Raw genomic sequence first — 15,509 nt, forward strand, 5'->3', positions numbered from 1 at the left:
AGCCTCCTAATACCCATAATAACTCCTTGTGCAATAACATGTTTGTTGAAATATTTTAAAAATTTGGGGCCAGGCAGAGTGGCTCATGCCTGTAATCCTTGTAATTCCAGCACTTTGGGAGGCTGAGGCAGGTGGATCACTTGAGGTCAGGCGTTCGAGACCAGCCTGACCACCATGGTGAAACCCCATCTCTACTAAAAATACAAAATTAGCCAGGCGTGGTGGTGTGTGCCTTAATCCCAGCTACTTGGGAGGCCAAGACAGTAGAATCGCTTGAATCCGGGAGGTGGAAGTTGCAGTGAGCCGAGATCATGCCATTGTACTCCAGCCTGGGCAACAAGAAAGAAACTCCATCTCAAAAAAAAAAAATTTTTGTTTGGGGCCTGGTGCAATGGCTCACATCTTTAATTCTGGTGTTTTGGGAAGCCGAGGTGGGAGAACTGCTTGAGGCCAGGAGTTCTAGACCAGCCTGGACAACAAAGCAAGATCTCATCTCTACAAAAAATGAAAAGATTAGCCGGGTGTGGTGGTGCACACCTGTAGTCCCAGCTACTTAGAGAAGCTGAGGTGGGAGGATTGCTTGAGCCCAGAATTTCGTGGCTGCAGTGAGCTATGATTGTACCACTGTACTCCAGTCTGGGCAACAGAGTGATACCCTGTCTCAAAAATTTTTTAAATTATTTAATTGAACCTAGCTGTGCATGTGTGTTTTTCAAAGTCAATAACAGGACTCCCAGCGGCAGGGCAAGGTCACTCCCAGATGCTTTGGGCTCCGGCTGTCTTCTTCCCCTCCAACCTTGGAGAGGCAGCCTGGGATGCTTTCTGGGGCACGTACACCATTGGTCACAGCCCAACCCTACCCCCTCCAGGAGAGTCAAAAACACAAAATGCCGGGCGCAGTGGCTCACACCTGGAATCCCGGCACTTTGGGAGGCTGAGGCGGGTGGATCACCTGAGGTCAGGAGTTTGAGACCAGGCTGACCAACACGGTGAAACTCTGTGTCTACTAAAAATATAAAAAAATTAGCAGGGCATGATGGCAGATACCTGTAGCCCCAGCTGTTCAGGAGGCTGAGGCAGAAGAATTGCTTGAACCTGGGAGGCAGAGGTTGCAGTGAGCTGAGATCGTCCCATTGCACTCCAGCCTGGGGCGACAAGAGCGAGACTCCATTTCAAAACGAAAAGAAAAAAAAAAAAAGAACACACAAGACACAACAACCTTCAAAGAAAAAAAGAATCGCATTTTATTTGGCCTATTATTTGAGAACAGCAACTGTGTCTACACTCTTGATAAACCCACACAGTATATCATGCATAGAAAAAAAAAGCTAGAGTCTTTTCTCCCCCTAATCCCCCCACCCTATCTTCCCCTCACCAAAATGTGGGGTGAGCCCAGATTTGAAGGCAGTACAGGCCCTTGTCCCCAAGACAGCATGGAGCAACCTGTCACAAAGCAGGGAATCTCCTTAAAGTCATGTCTTCCCAAAAAGATTAAACTACCCAGGCTGGCCCTTCACCCCAGTCCTCCACGTTCATTTCCTTTAAAAAAAAAAAAATTATGATTTTTTTTTTTCAACATAAAAGTTTGAGTAGGCTGGGTGTGGTGGCTCATGCCTGTAATCCCAGCACTTTGGGAGGCCGAGGCAGGTAGATCACTTGAGGCCAGGAGTTTGAGACCAGCCTGGCCAACATGGTGAAACCTCATCTCTACTAAAAATACAAAAGTTAGTTGGGTGTGGTGGTACACACCTGTAGTCCCAGGTACTCGGGAGGCTGAGGCACGAGAATCACTTGAACCCAGGAGGCGGAGGTTGCAGTGAACCGAGATTGTGCCACTGCACTCCAGCCTGGGTGACAGAGCGAGACTCCGTCTCAGAAAAAAAAAAAAAAGAAAAAGCATCAGAACCAGGTCAGGAGGAGAAGGCAAAGAGTTGCCACTGCTCTCCTTCTGGGATCTTCTCACCCAGCTCCAGAAAGGCAAGGGGCCTTGGATGCTTGGAGCCATTGCTCAGCCCCCGGGAACCACATCACCTGCTCCCTCGGGTTTTTCATAGAAGAGACACATCCCTGGAGAGTGTTGCTAAGAAACAGGAAAATTAGCTCTTCCCCCCATCACTGTGGCTTCTCCAGGCCCCGAGTAGCCCGCCAAGCAGCTCAGGCCCAAACTCAGGGCTGGAGGGCTGGGCGGGGATTAGCAGGTGGTTTGGTTGCCAGGATATCTCTGGACAGGGCCCTTGACAGCCACTGCCCTGGCCCTAGGGGAAGCCTTCTTCTGCTTGGCGTCCAGGTTCTTCATGTACCTCTGGACCCACTCCTGCTTGGGGTCGCCACAGAACTGCTGGCCCTTCTTGGTGGTGAAGCTGTGGAAGAAAGGGACAGGGGATCAGCTGAGGTCGACAGGGACCTTGGGCCACTCCACTTCATGGCGGGGGGGATGTGGACGCCCAGAGACAGTAAGGCTTCCTTGCAAGTTGCTGAGATGATGTCATCTTCATTTTTTGACACAGGGTCTCACTCTGTTGTCCAGGCTGCAATAAAGTGGCGATCATAACTCACTGCAGCCTCAAATTCCCAGGCTCAAGCTGTCCTCCCGCCTTAGCCTCCTGAGTAGCTGGGACTACAGGAACATGCCACCATGCCCAGCTAATTTTTTTTATTTTTTTGCAGAAACGGAGTCTCACTATGTTGCCTAGGCTGGTCTTAAACTCCTGGCCTTAAGCAACCCTCCTGCCTCAGCCTCCCAAAGCACTGAGATTGCAGATGTAAGCCACTGCACGTGGCCTTCTTATTGTATTTCTATTTCATGCCTCTGTTTACAAAATGAGTTCACAGTTACTACTTATGAAGCTATTTGGAGGACAGACACATGTCAGCCCACGTGACCTTGAGCAAGTTACCTTCCTGAGCCTCAGCTGTCCTCTGTAAAATGGGAACAATCATCGCTACCCCATAGAATTGTTGAGAGAATTAGATAAGATATTGTCTTGTGCCCCTGAATAGTGACTTGTTATATATTTGGTGCTCAGTAGATATTGAATCTAAATCCTTCTCCTGGTGGATCACGCCTGTAATCCCAGCACTTTGGAAGGCTGAGATGGGCAGATCACTTCAGGTCAGAAGTTCGAGACCAGCCTGGTCAACATGGTGAAACCCTGTCTCTCCTAAAAATACAAAAATTAGCCGGGCATGGTGGTGCGTACCTGTAATCCCAGCTACTCGGGAGGCTGAGGCATGAGAATTGCTTGAACCTGGGAGGCGGAGGTTGCAGTGAGCCAAGATCGTACCACTGCACTCCAGCTTGGGTGATAGAGACTCTGTCTCAGGGGAAAAAAAAAAAATCCTCCTCCTGGCTGGGTGTGGTGGTTCATGGCCGTAATCCTAGCACCACTTTGGGAGGCTGAGATGGGAGGATCACTTGAGCCCAGGAGGTTGAGGCTGCAATGCAATGAGCTATGATCGTGCCACTGCACTCCAGCTTGGGTGACAGAGCAAGACCCTATCTCCTAAAAAGAAAAATGAAATTAAAAAAATAAATATATCCTCCTCCTAGTTTTATGGGCAAGGAAGTTGAGGACCAGAGAGGGGAGGTGACTTCTCCAGGGATGCACAGAGCTGGGGCTGGCTGACCTTGCTTCTCAGGGACCCTGGAGTTGCACCTGCCCCCACCCCTCTCCTGCCACGTGCCCATGAAGGATACCTACATCACTCCTGCCTTGAGGCATGTGCTCCTGCTGGACAGCTGGTAGCTGACCACTCGGTTCTCAGGAATTCTCTTGGAAACAAAGAACATGCAGCAGGGAGAGGGGATGACCACAGAGCCTAGAAGAGGAGAGAGAGAAGAGCCACGTCTTTTCCCAGCCTCCCCTTGGCTCTGGGCCTCAGAGCTGGAGCTTGAACCCTGCACCAAACACCGCCAGTCCATTCACTGGGCCACCCTTTCCCCAGCGCTTCCCTCCAGCCCCAGGCTGGTCAGTCCTGCACCCCCCACTGTGCCATCCCAGCCATGCCCTTGGAACTGCATCCTGTCGGAGGTCTTACCCGTAGGGATGATGTGGTGGGCACAGACACCAAGGAACAGAAGGCTGGTTACTATGGTCATCAGGCCTGCCATGTCTCAGAGAGCAGAAGCACCAGCTCGGGGCTCAAAGCTGACGTGCAGGAGGAAAGGACCTAGGGATAAATAGCTCGGGTCCTTGCAGAGTACCCCAAACTCCCTCCCTCTGCCCTTTATGGGGCAACTAGAAGGAAACACGCCCCCGAGCCCCCTCCACGCTTCCTTGAAAATCCTGAGGCCTGTGGTCTGGAAAGAGGAAGTTGTTGTCCCGTTGTTGCCCAGCTGAGTCAAGGGTTATCTTGGGCTCCGAACGAAAGAACTGGGGGAGGGGACATCACCCCACCTAGGCCAAGTTCAAAGGTGTTGGATGCATTGTCAGAAGGCCCATGGGATCCTGGCTGTGTTGGCCACTCCCTGTGGGATCCTGGATAAGTCACTCACCTCCCTGAGCCTCAGTTACTTCAGCTGAAAATGGGCAGAGTCATCCCTATCTTCTCCCTTCCATTCATTCATTCATTCATTCACCCAATTATTTATTAGGCATGTGGTCTGTGCCAGGCACTGGGAGGACTCTAATGGGGAGACAGATTTGTGATCAAGTGTGTGTAACAGACAATGAGAGGTCAGCTGGGCACGGGGGCTCATGCTTGTAATCCCTGTGCTTTGGAAGTTTCAAGTGGGAGGATCATTTGAGGCCAGGACTTTGAGACCAGCCTAGGCAACAAAGCAAGACCCTATCTCTATAAAAAATAAAAAAATTAGCCAGGCGTGGTGGTGCAGGCTTGTAGTCTCAGCTCTTGGGGAGGCTGAGGTGGAAGGATGACTTGAACCCAGGAGTTCAAGGCTGCAGTGAGCTGTGATCACACCACTGCCTCTCCAGGCTGGGCAACAGAGCAACACCCTGTCTTAAAATCAATCAATCAACCAATCAATCAATCAGTCCATGACAAGTCTTGACAGAGCAAAGCAGATGCTGTCAGGACCGCTTTCCATCAGCTCTCGGTGGCCTTGAAGTCCCAACAGCCATCGCCTGTACCCTCAAGTTGCCGGAGCCACTTAGTCACCAAGATTCTAGGGAAGTGGGAAATGCCTGGAAATTCACATCCTCTGAGGTGGCCAATGTCTGCCAGAGGGATGCCGACTCCAGATCCAGCATGACCTACCCTGTTTCCTGAGTTTCCAACTCGGTCAAATCTGTGACTCTCTGTGCAGCCGGACTTTGCTTGGCCCCTTCCCGCGCCGACCAGATTCCCAGTCCCCCGATGGTCTCTCGTGGAAGCATCTCTTAATAAACCACAAGCCCATGAATCCCTGCCAAGGGTCTGCTTTGGGGACCCTGACCCAGGACAAGGTATGGGGGTGGTGGGTGGGAGGAAGGGAAACATAGGAGAAACCAGGGGCCGGGAGCGGTGGCTCATGCCTGTAATCCCAATGCTTTAGGAGGCTGAGGCGGGAGGATTGACTGAGGCCAGGAGTTTGAGACCAGCAGGGGCAACATAGCAAGACCCTGTCTCCAAAAGAAATAGAAAAATTAGCCAGGCACGGTGGTATGCGCCTGTAGTCCTAGCTACTTGGGAGGCTGAGGGGGCAGGATCACTTGAGCCTAGGAGTTTGAGGCTACAGTGAGCTAGGTGAGCACCACTGAACTCCAGCCTGGGTGACAGAGCATAATCCTGTCTCTTAAAAAAAAAAAAAAAGAAAGGCTGGGTGAGGTGGCTCATGCCTGTCATCCCAGCACTTTGGGAGGCTAAGGTGGGAGGATTATTTGAGCCCAGGAGTTCAAGACCAGCCTGCTCAACATAGCAAAACCCCGTCTTTAAAAAAAAAATAAAAAGAAAACAAAAAAACCACGGGAAAACTGGCCAATTGTGCCAGGAGGAAAGTTCAGGAGGGACTCATAGCTGACAGCTGCACTGAGGTTGGAGGACAGAAGGCACTGGCAACTACGCGGAAGCCTGTAAGTCATAACGTCCAGTTCAGTTGTAAGGGACTGAGGCAACTTTATGAGGCAGAGTGGGACATGGCTCCCACCTCACTCCACCCCCGATTCCAGGATCCCAGGTCAGGACCTCATGATCAGAGACTCCCTTCACCTGCCACTCCCATGTGGCTGACTGCCACGGAGGCTCTACAGCCCTTTGTAATTATTGGGTAACAAGAACAAGGAGGAGGAGGTAACAATTGGTCAGCTGCTTAATTGATCACAGGTTCATATTGCTACTGACAGGCTTCAATTATGCCTAACCATAAGAAAGATTTGTGCTGTCTCCAACACTCCCATACCCAACCCCTCCCTACGGTTCTCTCCATTTGCCTTCTCCAACCTCCCTGCTCTGGGATTCCAGGGCACACACCGATGTAAGACCCACACAGTGGCATAGTGGGAGCACAGTGGTACTCGTCACTTGGTGGCCAGCTGGGTGTCTGCGTCTCAGTCTCATGCTTGACCTGAACGCCTTGAGATAAATTTATATACCCGCCAAGTGCCGAGCAAATCACCTGTGCCATGGCCAGCATTTGCAGAATGAATAGATGATGGATCAACTCTGAAACAACTTCCTCTGGACCAGGGACTCCTGTGTGGGTTTTGCCCACAGAGCACAACTGGAGCCTGCGTGTACACAAGGTAAGTCAGCAAGGCGGGTCCCCTGATGGAGGCAAGACTGAAGTCGGGGAGGCTGGTAGCACCTGATCTCACTGCCTATGCTTACAGAGTGAAAAATGCTGAGAGCCCAACTCAGGGCTTCATTAGCCTGGCACCTGCCCCTGTCTGCCTTCACCTCCCCATCAGCCAACAGTAATTATCCTCTGCTGGCAGAGCAATTAGGGAGGATTAAGTGAGAAAAGTCATGGGAAGGCCCTTTATACATGCAGAGGTTTTTTTCTTTAAAATTTTATTTATTTATTTATTTATTATTTTTGATACGGAGTCTCTCTCTGTCGCCCAGGCTGGAGTGCAGTGGCGCGATCTTGGCTCACTGCAACCTCCACCTCCGAGGTTCAAGCGATTCTCCCGCCTCAGCCTCCCCAGTAGCTGAGATTACAGGCACCCACCATCGTGTCTTGCTAATTGTTGTATTTTTAGTAGAGACGGGATTTCACTAGGTTGGTCAGGCTGGTCTTGAACTCCTGACCTCAGGTAATCCACCCACCTCGGCCCCCCAACGTGCTGGGATTACAGGTGTGAGCCACTGCACCTGGCCAAAAAAAAAAAAAAAAAATTTGAGACAAGGTCTCACTCTGTTGCCCAGGCTGGAGTGCAGTGGTGTGATCATAGCTCATTGCAGCTTCCAACTCCTGGACTCAGGCGATCCTCCTGCCTCAGCATCCTGAGTAGCTGGGACTACAGGTGCACGCCACCATGCCCAGCTAATTTTTTAAATTTTTAGTAGAGATGGGGTACCCCTATGTTGCCCAGGCTAGTTTCCAACTCCTGGCTTCAAGCAATCCTCCCACCTCGACCTCCCAAAGCGCTGGGATTACAGGCATGAGCCACTGTGCCCAGCTCATCATGATGTCTTATGACAGCTCTTCTAATTTTTGCTCCCCAGTGATTCAGAGGGGATGCCGGTTGACTGCCTGCATTTTCTCACTCAGTGGGTGCCGGGAGTGTGGTGTGTGGGGAGGAGGAAGTTGGGGGGAGAAAGGATGGTCAGACAGAGGCAGCACTCAGGAGAAGAGTGAGGCTGGGGTAAATAGGGCGGGGATGCCTGCCATCCCCATGTTGCAACAGGAGTGGGCGAGCAGAAGGTCATTGGGTGGGAGTGTGTGGGGTGGGGTGCTTCACCCCAGATTAGTAATACCCATTAAGGGCTTTTCCAAGGCCTTAAAAAACACAAAATATCCAATTTTTTTTTTTTTTTGAGAAGAGTTTCACTTTGTCACCCAGGCTGCAGTGGAATGGCCTGATCTCAGCTCACTGGAGCCTCAACCTCCCGGGTTCAAGCAATTCTCATGCCTCAGCCTCCTGAGTAGCTGGGATTATAGGCACCCATCACCACACCCAGCTAGTTTTTGTTTTTTTAGTAAAGATGGGATTTCACCATGTCAGCCAGGCTGGTCACCAACTCCTGACCCCAAGTGTTTTACCCACCTCGGCCTCCCAAAGTGCTGGGATTACAGGCATGAGCCACCGCACTGGGCCAAAACACCCAATGTTTTGTTGCTGTTGTTGTTGTTTGTTTTGTTTTCAGACACAGTCTCTCTTTGTCACCCAGGCTGGAGTGCAGTGGCATGATCTTGGCTCACTACAACCTCCGCCCCCCAGGTTCAAGCAATTCTCCTGCCTCAGCCTCCCGAGTAGCTGGGATTACAGATGCACACCACCATGCCTGGCTAATTTTTATATTTTTAGTGGAGGCGGGGTTTCACCATGTTGGCTGGGCTAGTCTCAAACTCTTAATCTCAAGTGATTCGCCCACCTCGGCCTCCCAAAGTGCTGGGATGACCAGCATGAGCCACCTCACCCAACCAAAACTCCTAATCTTTATGCTCTATACAGGGAAATTGTTAAGGCAGGGATTACCAACCCTGTTTTACGAGGGAAGAGCTGATGCCTTGCAAGGATAAGTGAGCAGACACCATCACAGGGCCACTTAGCTCCCGAAATGGGAGCCCATCTCTACTACAAATACAAAAATTAGCTGGGCGTGGTGGCACGCACCTGTAGTCCCAGCTACTCGGGAGGCTGAAGCAGGAGAATCGCTTGAACCTGGGAGGCAGAGGTTGCAGTGAGCCGAGATCGCACCACTGCACTCCAGCCTGGGTGACAGAGTGAGACTCCGTCTCAAAAAAAAAAAAAAAAAGAAAGGGAGTGGTTAGGTAAAAAGAGAAAGAGCCAGGTGCAATGGCTCACACATGTAATCCCAGCACTTTGGGAGGCCGAGGTGGGAGGATTGCTTGAGCCCAGGAGTTCAAGTCCAGCCTGGGCAACATGGCAAGACCCGGACTCTTTAAAAAAAAAAAAAAAATTAGAAAGAGGAAGAGGGAAGCAGTAGAAGTGGGAACCTGGCAGGGGCAGAAACAGCATGTGTGGAGGAGGCTGGAGGGTGGGTGGGAGGTGACCCACAGCAGTGTGAGGCTCTTAGAACCCCTGATGGCTCCAGCACAGACCCTGTCCCTCTCTTGGCCTCGGTTTCTCCATCTGAGAAGTAGCGTGTTGGCCAGAGCGGCCTCTCCCCAAGTGTAGGACCACCAGCCATGATACAAGAAGGAACATTTCTCATTTTATTTAAATGTTTTGTTATGGTCACCCTCTTTAATAAGGGACTTTAAGGAACTTTATATATATATATATTATAGTAATACAAGATTTCCCTAAGGTAAGAAATATGAGGGCCAGGGCTCACGCTTGTAATCCCAGCACTTTGGGAGGCCAAGGTGGGCAGATCACCTGAGGTCGGGAGTTTGGGACCAGCCTGACCAACATAGAGAAACCCCATCTCTACTAAAAATACAAAACCAGCTGGGCGTGGTGGCACATGACTGTAATCCCAGCTGCTCGGGAGGCTGAGGCACAAGAATCTCTTGAACCTGGGAGGCAGAGGTTGTGGTAAGTGGAGATCGCACCATTGCACGCCAGACTGGGCAACAAGAGTGAAACTCCGTCTCAAAAAAAAAAAAAAAAAAAAAAAAAAAAAAAAAAAATATATATATATATATATATATATATATATATATTCATAGGCTGGGCGATGTGGCTCACATCTGTAATCCCAGTACTTTGGGAGGCTGAGGCAGGAGGATTGCTTGAGCTCAGGTGTTCGAGACCAGCCTAGGCAACATAGTGAAACCTCAACTCTACAAAATATAAACGAAAAATTAGCCAGACACTGGGGTGCATGCCTGTAGTCCCAGCTATTTGGGAGACTGAAGCAGGAGGATCGCTTGAACCCAGGAGTTCAAGACTAGCCTGGGTAACATAACATATCCCCATCTCTCAATAAATAAATAAAAGAAGGGGGCTGTCATCTCTGAAGATAAATGACTTTAAATACCTGAGGAAGGGTCCCAGAAAGGGGGCACTGGATCTGATGGCCCTAATTAGGGTAAAAGTAGACCACACACACACACAAAGAAAGAAAGAAAAAAAATCCTGTGTCTTCTTACTAAGGTCTGAACTGAATTTTAGGTCAAACCATAGGCCCAAGATGGGCAGCTATGGTGTAGTGACATATTTTAGTCCCTGACCTGCTAAAAACTGGCTGTATGAGCCTGGGCAACTTGCTCACTCCTCCCAAGCTTTGATTTCCTCATCTATGAAATGGTGGGGGCGGGGAGGATGAGGCCACTTTTTACCCATGATCTCATGTGATTCTAGAATCCTAGAAAGTTACGGATGTAAGGGCTTTTAGTAAACTACTTCTTCTTCTTCTTCTTCTTCTTCTTCTTCTTCTTCTTCTTCTTCTTCTTCTTCTTCTTCTTCTTCTTCCTCTTCTTCTTCTTCTTCCTTCTTCTTCTTCTTCTTCTTCTTCTCCTCCTCCTCCTCCTCCTCCTTCTCCTTCTCCTTCTCCTTCTCCTTCTCCTTCTCCTTCTCCTTCTTTTTTTGAGATGGAATCTTGCTTTGTCGTCCAGGCAACAGCACAATCTCGGCTCACTGCAACCTCCAACTCCCTGGTTCAGGCAATTCTCCTGCCTCTGCCTCCCGAGTAGCTGGGATTACAGGCGCACGCCACCACACCCAGCTAATTTTTTTGTACTTTTAGTGGAGGCGGGGTTCCACCATGTTGGCCAGACTGGTCTCGAACTCCTGGCCTCAGGTGATCTGCCAGCCTTGGCCTCCCAAAGTGCTGGGATAACAGGCATGAGCCACCTCGCCTGGCAGTGCACATGCAAGTCTTCACCATCTAGCAGGAACCAGACCCTTAAGCTAGAGGAACTCAGCCCCAAGGGAGGTGTTTCAGGTATCCATCCATCCACCTACCCATTAATTCATCTACTCACTCATCCATCCATCCATCCATCCACCCACCCACCCACCCATCTACCCACTCATCCACCCATCTATCCATCATCCATCCATCCATCCACTTATTCATCCATCCACCCTTCATCCATCTACCCATCCACCCATCCACCTACCCACCCATGCATCCACCCCTCCACCCATCCATCCATTCACCCACCCATCTACTCATCTATCCATCCATCCATTCACTAATCCATCCATCCATCCATCCATCCATCCATCCCTCCACCCATCTATCTATCCATCCACTCATCTATCCATCCATCCATTCATTAATCCATCCATCTATCCATCAATTCATCCATCCATCCATCCATCCATCCATCCATCCATCCATCCCTCATCGAACCCTGCTATATACCAGGTGCCCCATCCCAGGCATACCAAGAAAAACTATATACAGGTGTTGCCTTGGGGAACTCTCACACTAGCCTTGAGAGACAGAGGCAATTATGACACAGGTGATAAGTGTCCAGATGGAGGAGGTCTACCGAGGCCACAGTGGAGAGCAGAAGTCATAGAAAACTTCCTGAAGGAGGTGCCCCTTGTGCTGAGTTAGGCTGACCAAGGGGAGTTGGGCTTGACAGGGAGGAAACTGGGCAGAGAAGGGTATTTCAAGCCCTGGAAGCCACAGAGATGAAGTCAAAGCAGAGGGGTGACTTGGCCAGGTTGGAGCCTTAAAGAAATCACTCTGGCTGCAGTAAGTCATGTGGCAGAACTGGTGGGAAGCCTGTGGTAGGGAATCTAGGATGGAGAGGTGGAGGAAGTTAGGATGGAAAAAAGAGGATGGATTTGAGGATTACTCAGGATTCCATTTGCTGAGCTCTGATGCCATATGGTTGAGGAAAAGGAAGGATTGTCTAGGATAACACTTGGGTTTCAAACTTGAGTGCATGTGTTGGGGGGACCATTCATGGATAAAAACAGTCTGCAGGGGCTGTGGGGCTTCCAGGGGTTCTGGTAGATGCCCGAGGCAGGCAGGGCAGGTAGGGAGAGGTCTGGATGTCCAATAAATTATCAGAACAAGGGAGGGGCTCAAGGCTGTAATCCCAACACTTTGGGAGGCCAAGGCGGGTGGATCACCTGAGGTCAGGAGTTTGAGACCAGCCTGATCAACATGGAGAAACCCCGTCTCTACTAAAAATACAAAAAATTAGCCGGGCGTAGTGGCGGGCGCCTGTAGTCCCAGCTACTTGGGAGGCTGAGGCAGGAGAATGGCGTGAACCCGGGAGGCGGAGCTTGCAGTGAGCCGAGATCCCGCCACTGCACTCCAGCCTGGGCGACAGAGCGAGACTCCGTCTCAAAAAAAAAAAAAAAGAAAACAAAATTAGCCAGGTGTGGTGGCACAAGCCTGTAATCCCAGCTACTCCGGAGGCTGAGGCAGGAGAATAGCTTAAACCCGGGAGGCAGAGATTGCGGTGAGCCAAGATCGCACCATTGCACTCTAGCCTGGGTGACAGAGCCAGACTCCATCTCAAAAAAAAAAGAAAAAAAATCAGAACAAGAAGAACCTTTGGAGTCTCACCTGTCCCGACACTTTGTGGCTGGGAACTGGAAGCCCAGGGAGATTAGACAGCCTCAACTGCCCCACCCAGCTCAAGACACAGTGTAGTACCATGGGGAGGGCATGGCCCTAGAGGTAGACACTCCTGGGTTTGAGCCTCGTCCCAACCATATGCTCACTTGGTGGCCCAGGCAAGGTGTTTAGCCTCTGTGAAGCTTAATTCATTTACTAAAAGATGGGTGTGTGACTGTGCACCTCCCAGGATGGTGGAGGGAGTAGGCCTCAAGCTTCAGTGAGGGACTCCATGAAACGCCACCAGACCAGCATCCCTTCAGCTGTTCCCCTAAAGCCCTACATGGCTCCTCTGAACTCATCTTATCCTCTTATTGTCCCCATGTCACCAGTAAGGAAACTGAGGTTCAGGCTGGGCATGGTGACTCACGCCTGTGATCCCAGCACTTTGGGTGGCCTAGGCGGTGGATCACCAGGGGTCAGTTCGAGACCAGCCTGGCCAACATGGTGAAACCCATCTCTACTAAAAATACAAAATTTAGCCAGGCGTGGTGGCAGGTGCCTGTAATCCCAGCTACTCAGGAGGTTGAGGCATGAGAATTGCTTGAATCCAGGAGGCGGAGGTTGCAGTGAGCCGAGATTGTGCCACTGCACTTCAGCCTGGGTGACAGAGCAAGACTCAATCTCCAAAAAGAAAAAAAAGAAAAGAAAACTGAGGTTTAGAGAGTTAAATGACTTGCTCAAGACTCCTAAGCCACGATGGGGCAGAACTCGTCCTACATCTTCCTGGGAAGGAACCTATGCCCTTGTCATGGTGCCAGGCAGCATGCTCCGCTGAGTGGCACCAATGCCACCACACCGAGTTCACTTTCCGAGCTGCTCTCCGATCCACCCCTTACTTTAGACTCTCACGGCCACCAGCTTTGCACAGCCTCCATCAATTCTTTCTTGCATTCTTGTCCCAGCCTCCTAAAGGAAGCGGGTAGACATCTGGGGTGTGATGCAGGGGGGAGAGGGCAGTGGGGTGCCAGGATGAATGGGCACTGTGGTGGGGAGTGCAAGGGGCTAGACTCAGGCATGCAGACTGGGGGTGTCACTGCTTCCTGGGATATCCTGCTTCCTCGATACCAAACACACACACACAAAGTCCCAGAATACTGGGCACAGGGGAGCCACTTACCCGGAGGTAACAGGGTGACAGCCTTGGTGCCAAGTGCAGAGCAGAAATGATTTCCTCTGACTCACCAGATCTGGGATGGCAGGAAGAATGGGACGAGAGGAGGGGCACCTGGGGAGGGAAGGGCGCCTCCCCTGCATCTCGCCTGGCTTGGCTGGGAAATTCAGGAGTCCAAGGTTTACAAGGACTTCTGAGAGGTTGGCTTTGTGGCAACAGGCAGGCCCTGATGGGGGCCCATGTGCAGGGTGGGTGGTGGTCCCCATCAGAAGAGCACAGTGAGCCCATTGTCAGACAGACTTCTGTCCACACGGACAGACTTCTGCCCTGGAAAGGGTGTGGTCCCAGACGGGGCTGGGGAGGAAAACAGGTGGCAGCTATGGAGTGCCTTACCCTTTCATCTCCAGATGGGAGGGCTTTCAACAGCTCAACAGGGACGGGAACAGGAGGCACATATAGCAGCTGAAGCCCAGGGCACTGCCAACCAGCCAGCCTAGCATGGATGGTAAACGGGGATGCTGCAGATCAAAGAGGCCAAGAGGATCTTTTTTTTCTTTTTTTCTGGTGGGGGGTGGGTGCAGAGGGAAGGGAGACAGAGTCTTGCTCTGTTGCCCAGGCTGGAGTGCAGTGGTGCAATCTCGGCTCACTGCAACCTCTGCCTCCCAGGTTCAAGCGATTCTCCTGCCTCAGCCTCCTGAGTAACTGGGATTACAGGCACCCACCATCATGCCCAGCTAATTTTTTGCATATTTACTAGAGATGGGGTTTCACCATGTTGGCCAGGGTGATCTCAAAACTCCCGACCACAGGTGATCCACCTGCCTTGGCCTCCCAAAGTGCTGGGATTACATGTGTGAGCCACCATGCCCAGCTGAGAGGATCTTTTTGTACATCTGTGTCACAGCTGCCTCTTAGATGTTAAAGGCCTAAGGAGAAGGAAGCAGGTAAAGCTGTCCAGAGACAGATCTGATCACCTTGGATGACAGTGAGAGCCCCACCAAGGGAGGTAAGCAAGCACCCTGTGGCAGATCTCCAGGTAGGAAATTGAAGTCTCAGATGAGGGAGCTCCATTCGGCCAAGGCATTCTGGGATCCAGTGAAGGACGTGTTTCAGACTTCATGTTATAAGATCTCAGAGTCCACTGGAAAAACCAACACAGAAATAATTAGAGCCCAAGTATAGTGGTTCATGCCTGTAATCTCAGCACTTTGGGAGGGTCACTTGAGCCCAGAAGTTCAAGGCCAGCCTGAGCAACATGGTAAGACCACGTCTCTACAAAAAATGTTTAAAATTAGCCAGGTGCACTCCTGACCCCAAGCGATCCGCCCGCCTTGGCCTCCCAAAGTGCTGAGATTACAAGTGTGAACCAGAGTACGAGACCAGCCTGGCCAACACGGTGAAACCCCATCTCTAATGAAAATACAAAAATTAGCCGGGTGTAGTGGTGGGCACCTGTAATCTCAGCTACTCAGGAGGCTGAGGCAGGATAATTGCTTGAACGCGGGAGGCAGAGGTTGCAGTGAGCTGGGATCGCACCACTGCACTCCAACCTGGGTGACAGAAAGAGACTCCATCTAAAAAATAAAAATAAAAAAATAAAAAATAACCAGGTGCAGGCACACATGTCTGTAGTCCCAGCTACTCAGGAGGCTGAGGTGGGAGGATCACTCAAGCCCAGGAGGTCGAGGCTGCAGTGAGCTATGATCACGCCACTGTACTCCAGCCTGGGAGACAGAGTGAGACTCTGTCTCAAAGGAATAACAATAATAATTACAATATAGCATAAGATTTAGGAATC

General features: G+C 50.8%; 1 protein-coding gene across 3 annotated transcripts, besides 1 other annotated feature; it reads right to left on the reverse strand.

Annotated features, from left to right (window-relative positions):
• Nucleotides 1–1,220: 1,220 nt before the first annotated feature.
• CCL24 (C-C motif chemokine ligand 24) lies at nt 1,221–13,768 on the reverse strand. Of its 3 annotated transcripts, XM_011516460.3 has the most exons (6): nt 13,718–13,768; nt 6,554–6,665; nt 5,218–5,338; nt 4,039–4,170; nt 3,702–3,819; nt 1,221–2,360 (listed from the first exon to the last, which is right to left on the reverse strand). In XM_011516460.3, the coding sequence occupies exons 4-6, from the start codon at nt 4,109–4,111 to the stop codon at nt 2,192–2,194; spliced, it is 360 nt and encodes a 119-aa protein (XP_011514762.1). In that variant the 5' UTR covers nt 4,112–4,170; nt 5,218–5,338; nt 6,554–6,665; nt 13,718–13,768; the 3' UTR covers nt 1,221–2,191. The 3 variants fall into 3 exon arrangements, with proteins under 3 accessions (XP_011514762.1, NP_001358122.1, NP_002982.2); NM_001371193.1 differs by lacking the exons at nt 5,218–5,338; nt 6,554–6,665; NM_002991.3 differs by lacking the exons at nt 5,218–5,338; nt 6,554–6,665; nt 13,718–13,768 and having other exon boundaries at nt 4,039–4,202.
• Nucleotides 13,967–14,467: an enhancer, noted in NCBI's record as "H3K4me1 hESC enhancer chr7:75452889-75453389 (GRCh37/hg19 assembly coordinates)". NCBI's record gives its function as "activates a minimal SCP1, AML or CMV promoter by ChIP-STARR-seq in primed H9 embryonic stem cells {active_cell/tissue: H9 hESC(primed)}" and the evidence as "EXISTENCE:reporter gene assay evidence [ECO:0000049][PMID:30033119]".

Source organism: Homo sapiens, chromosome 7 (assembly GCF_000001405.40).
Source record: "Homo sapiens chromosome 7, GRCh38.p14 Primary Assembly".
NCBI classification, from domain to species: Eukaryota; Metazoa; Chordata; class Mammalia; order Primates; family Hominidae; genus Homo; species Homo sapiens.

Excerpts from the sequence above, each read along its gene's own strand:
- CCL24 (NM_001371193.1), bottom strand. The coding sequence starts at position 4,111 with ATGGCAGGCCTGATGACCATAGTAACCAGCCTTCTGTTCCTTGGTGTC. Across the intron at positions 3,820-4,038 it reads CCACCACATCATCCCTACGG|GCTCTGTGGTCATCCCCTCT; the intron begins GTAAGACCTCCG and ends CTCCTCTTCTAG. Across the intron at positions 2,361-3,701 it reads TGCCTCAAGGCAGGAGTGAT|CTTCACCACCAAGAAGGGCC; the intron begins GTAGGTATCCTT and ends TTTCTTCCACAG.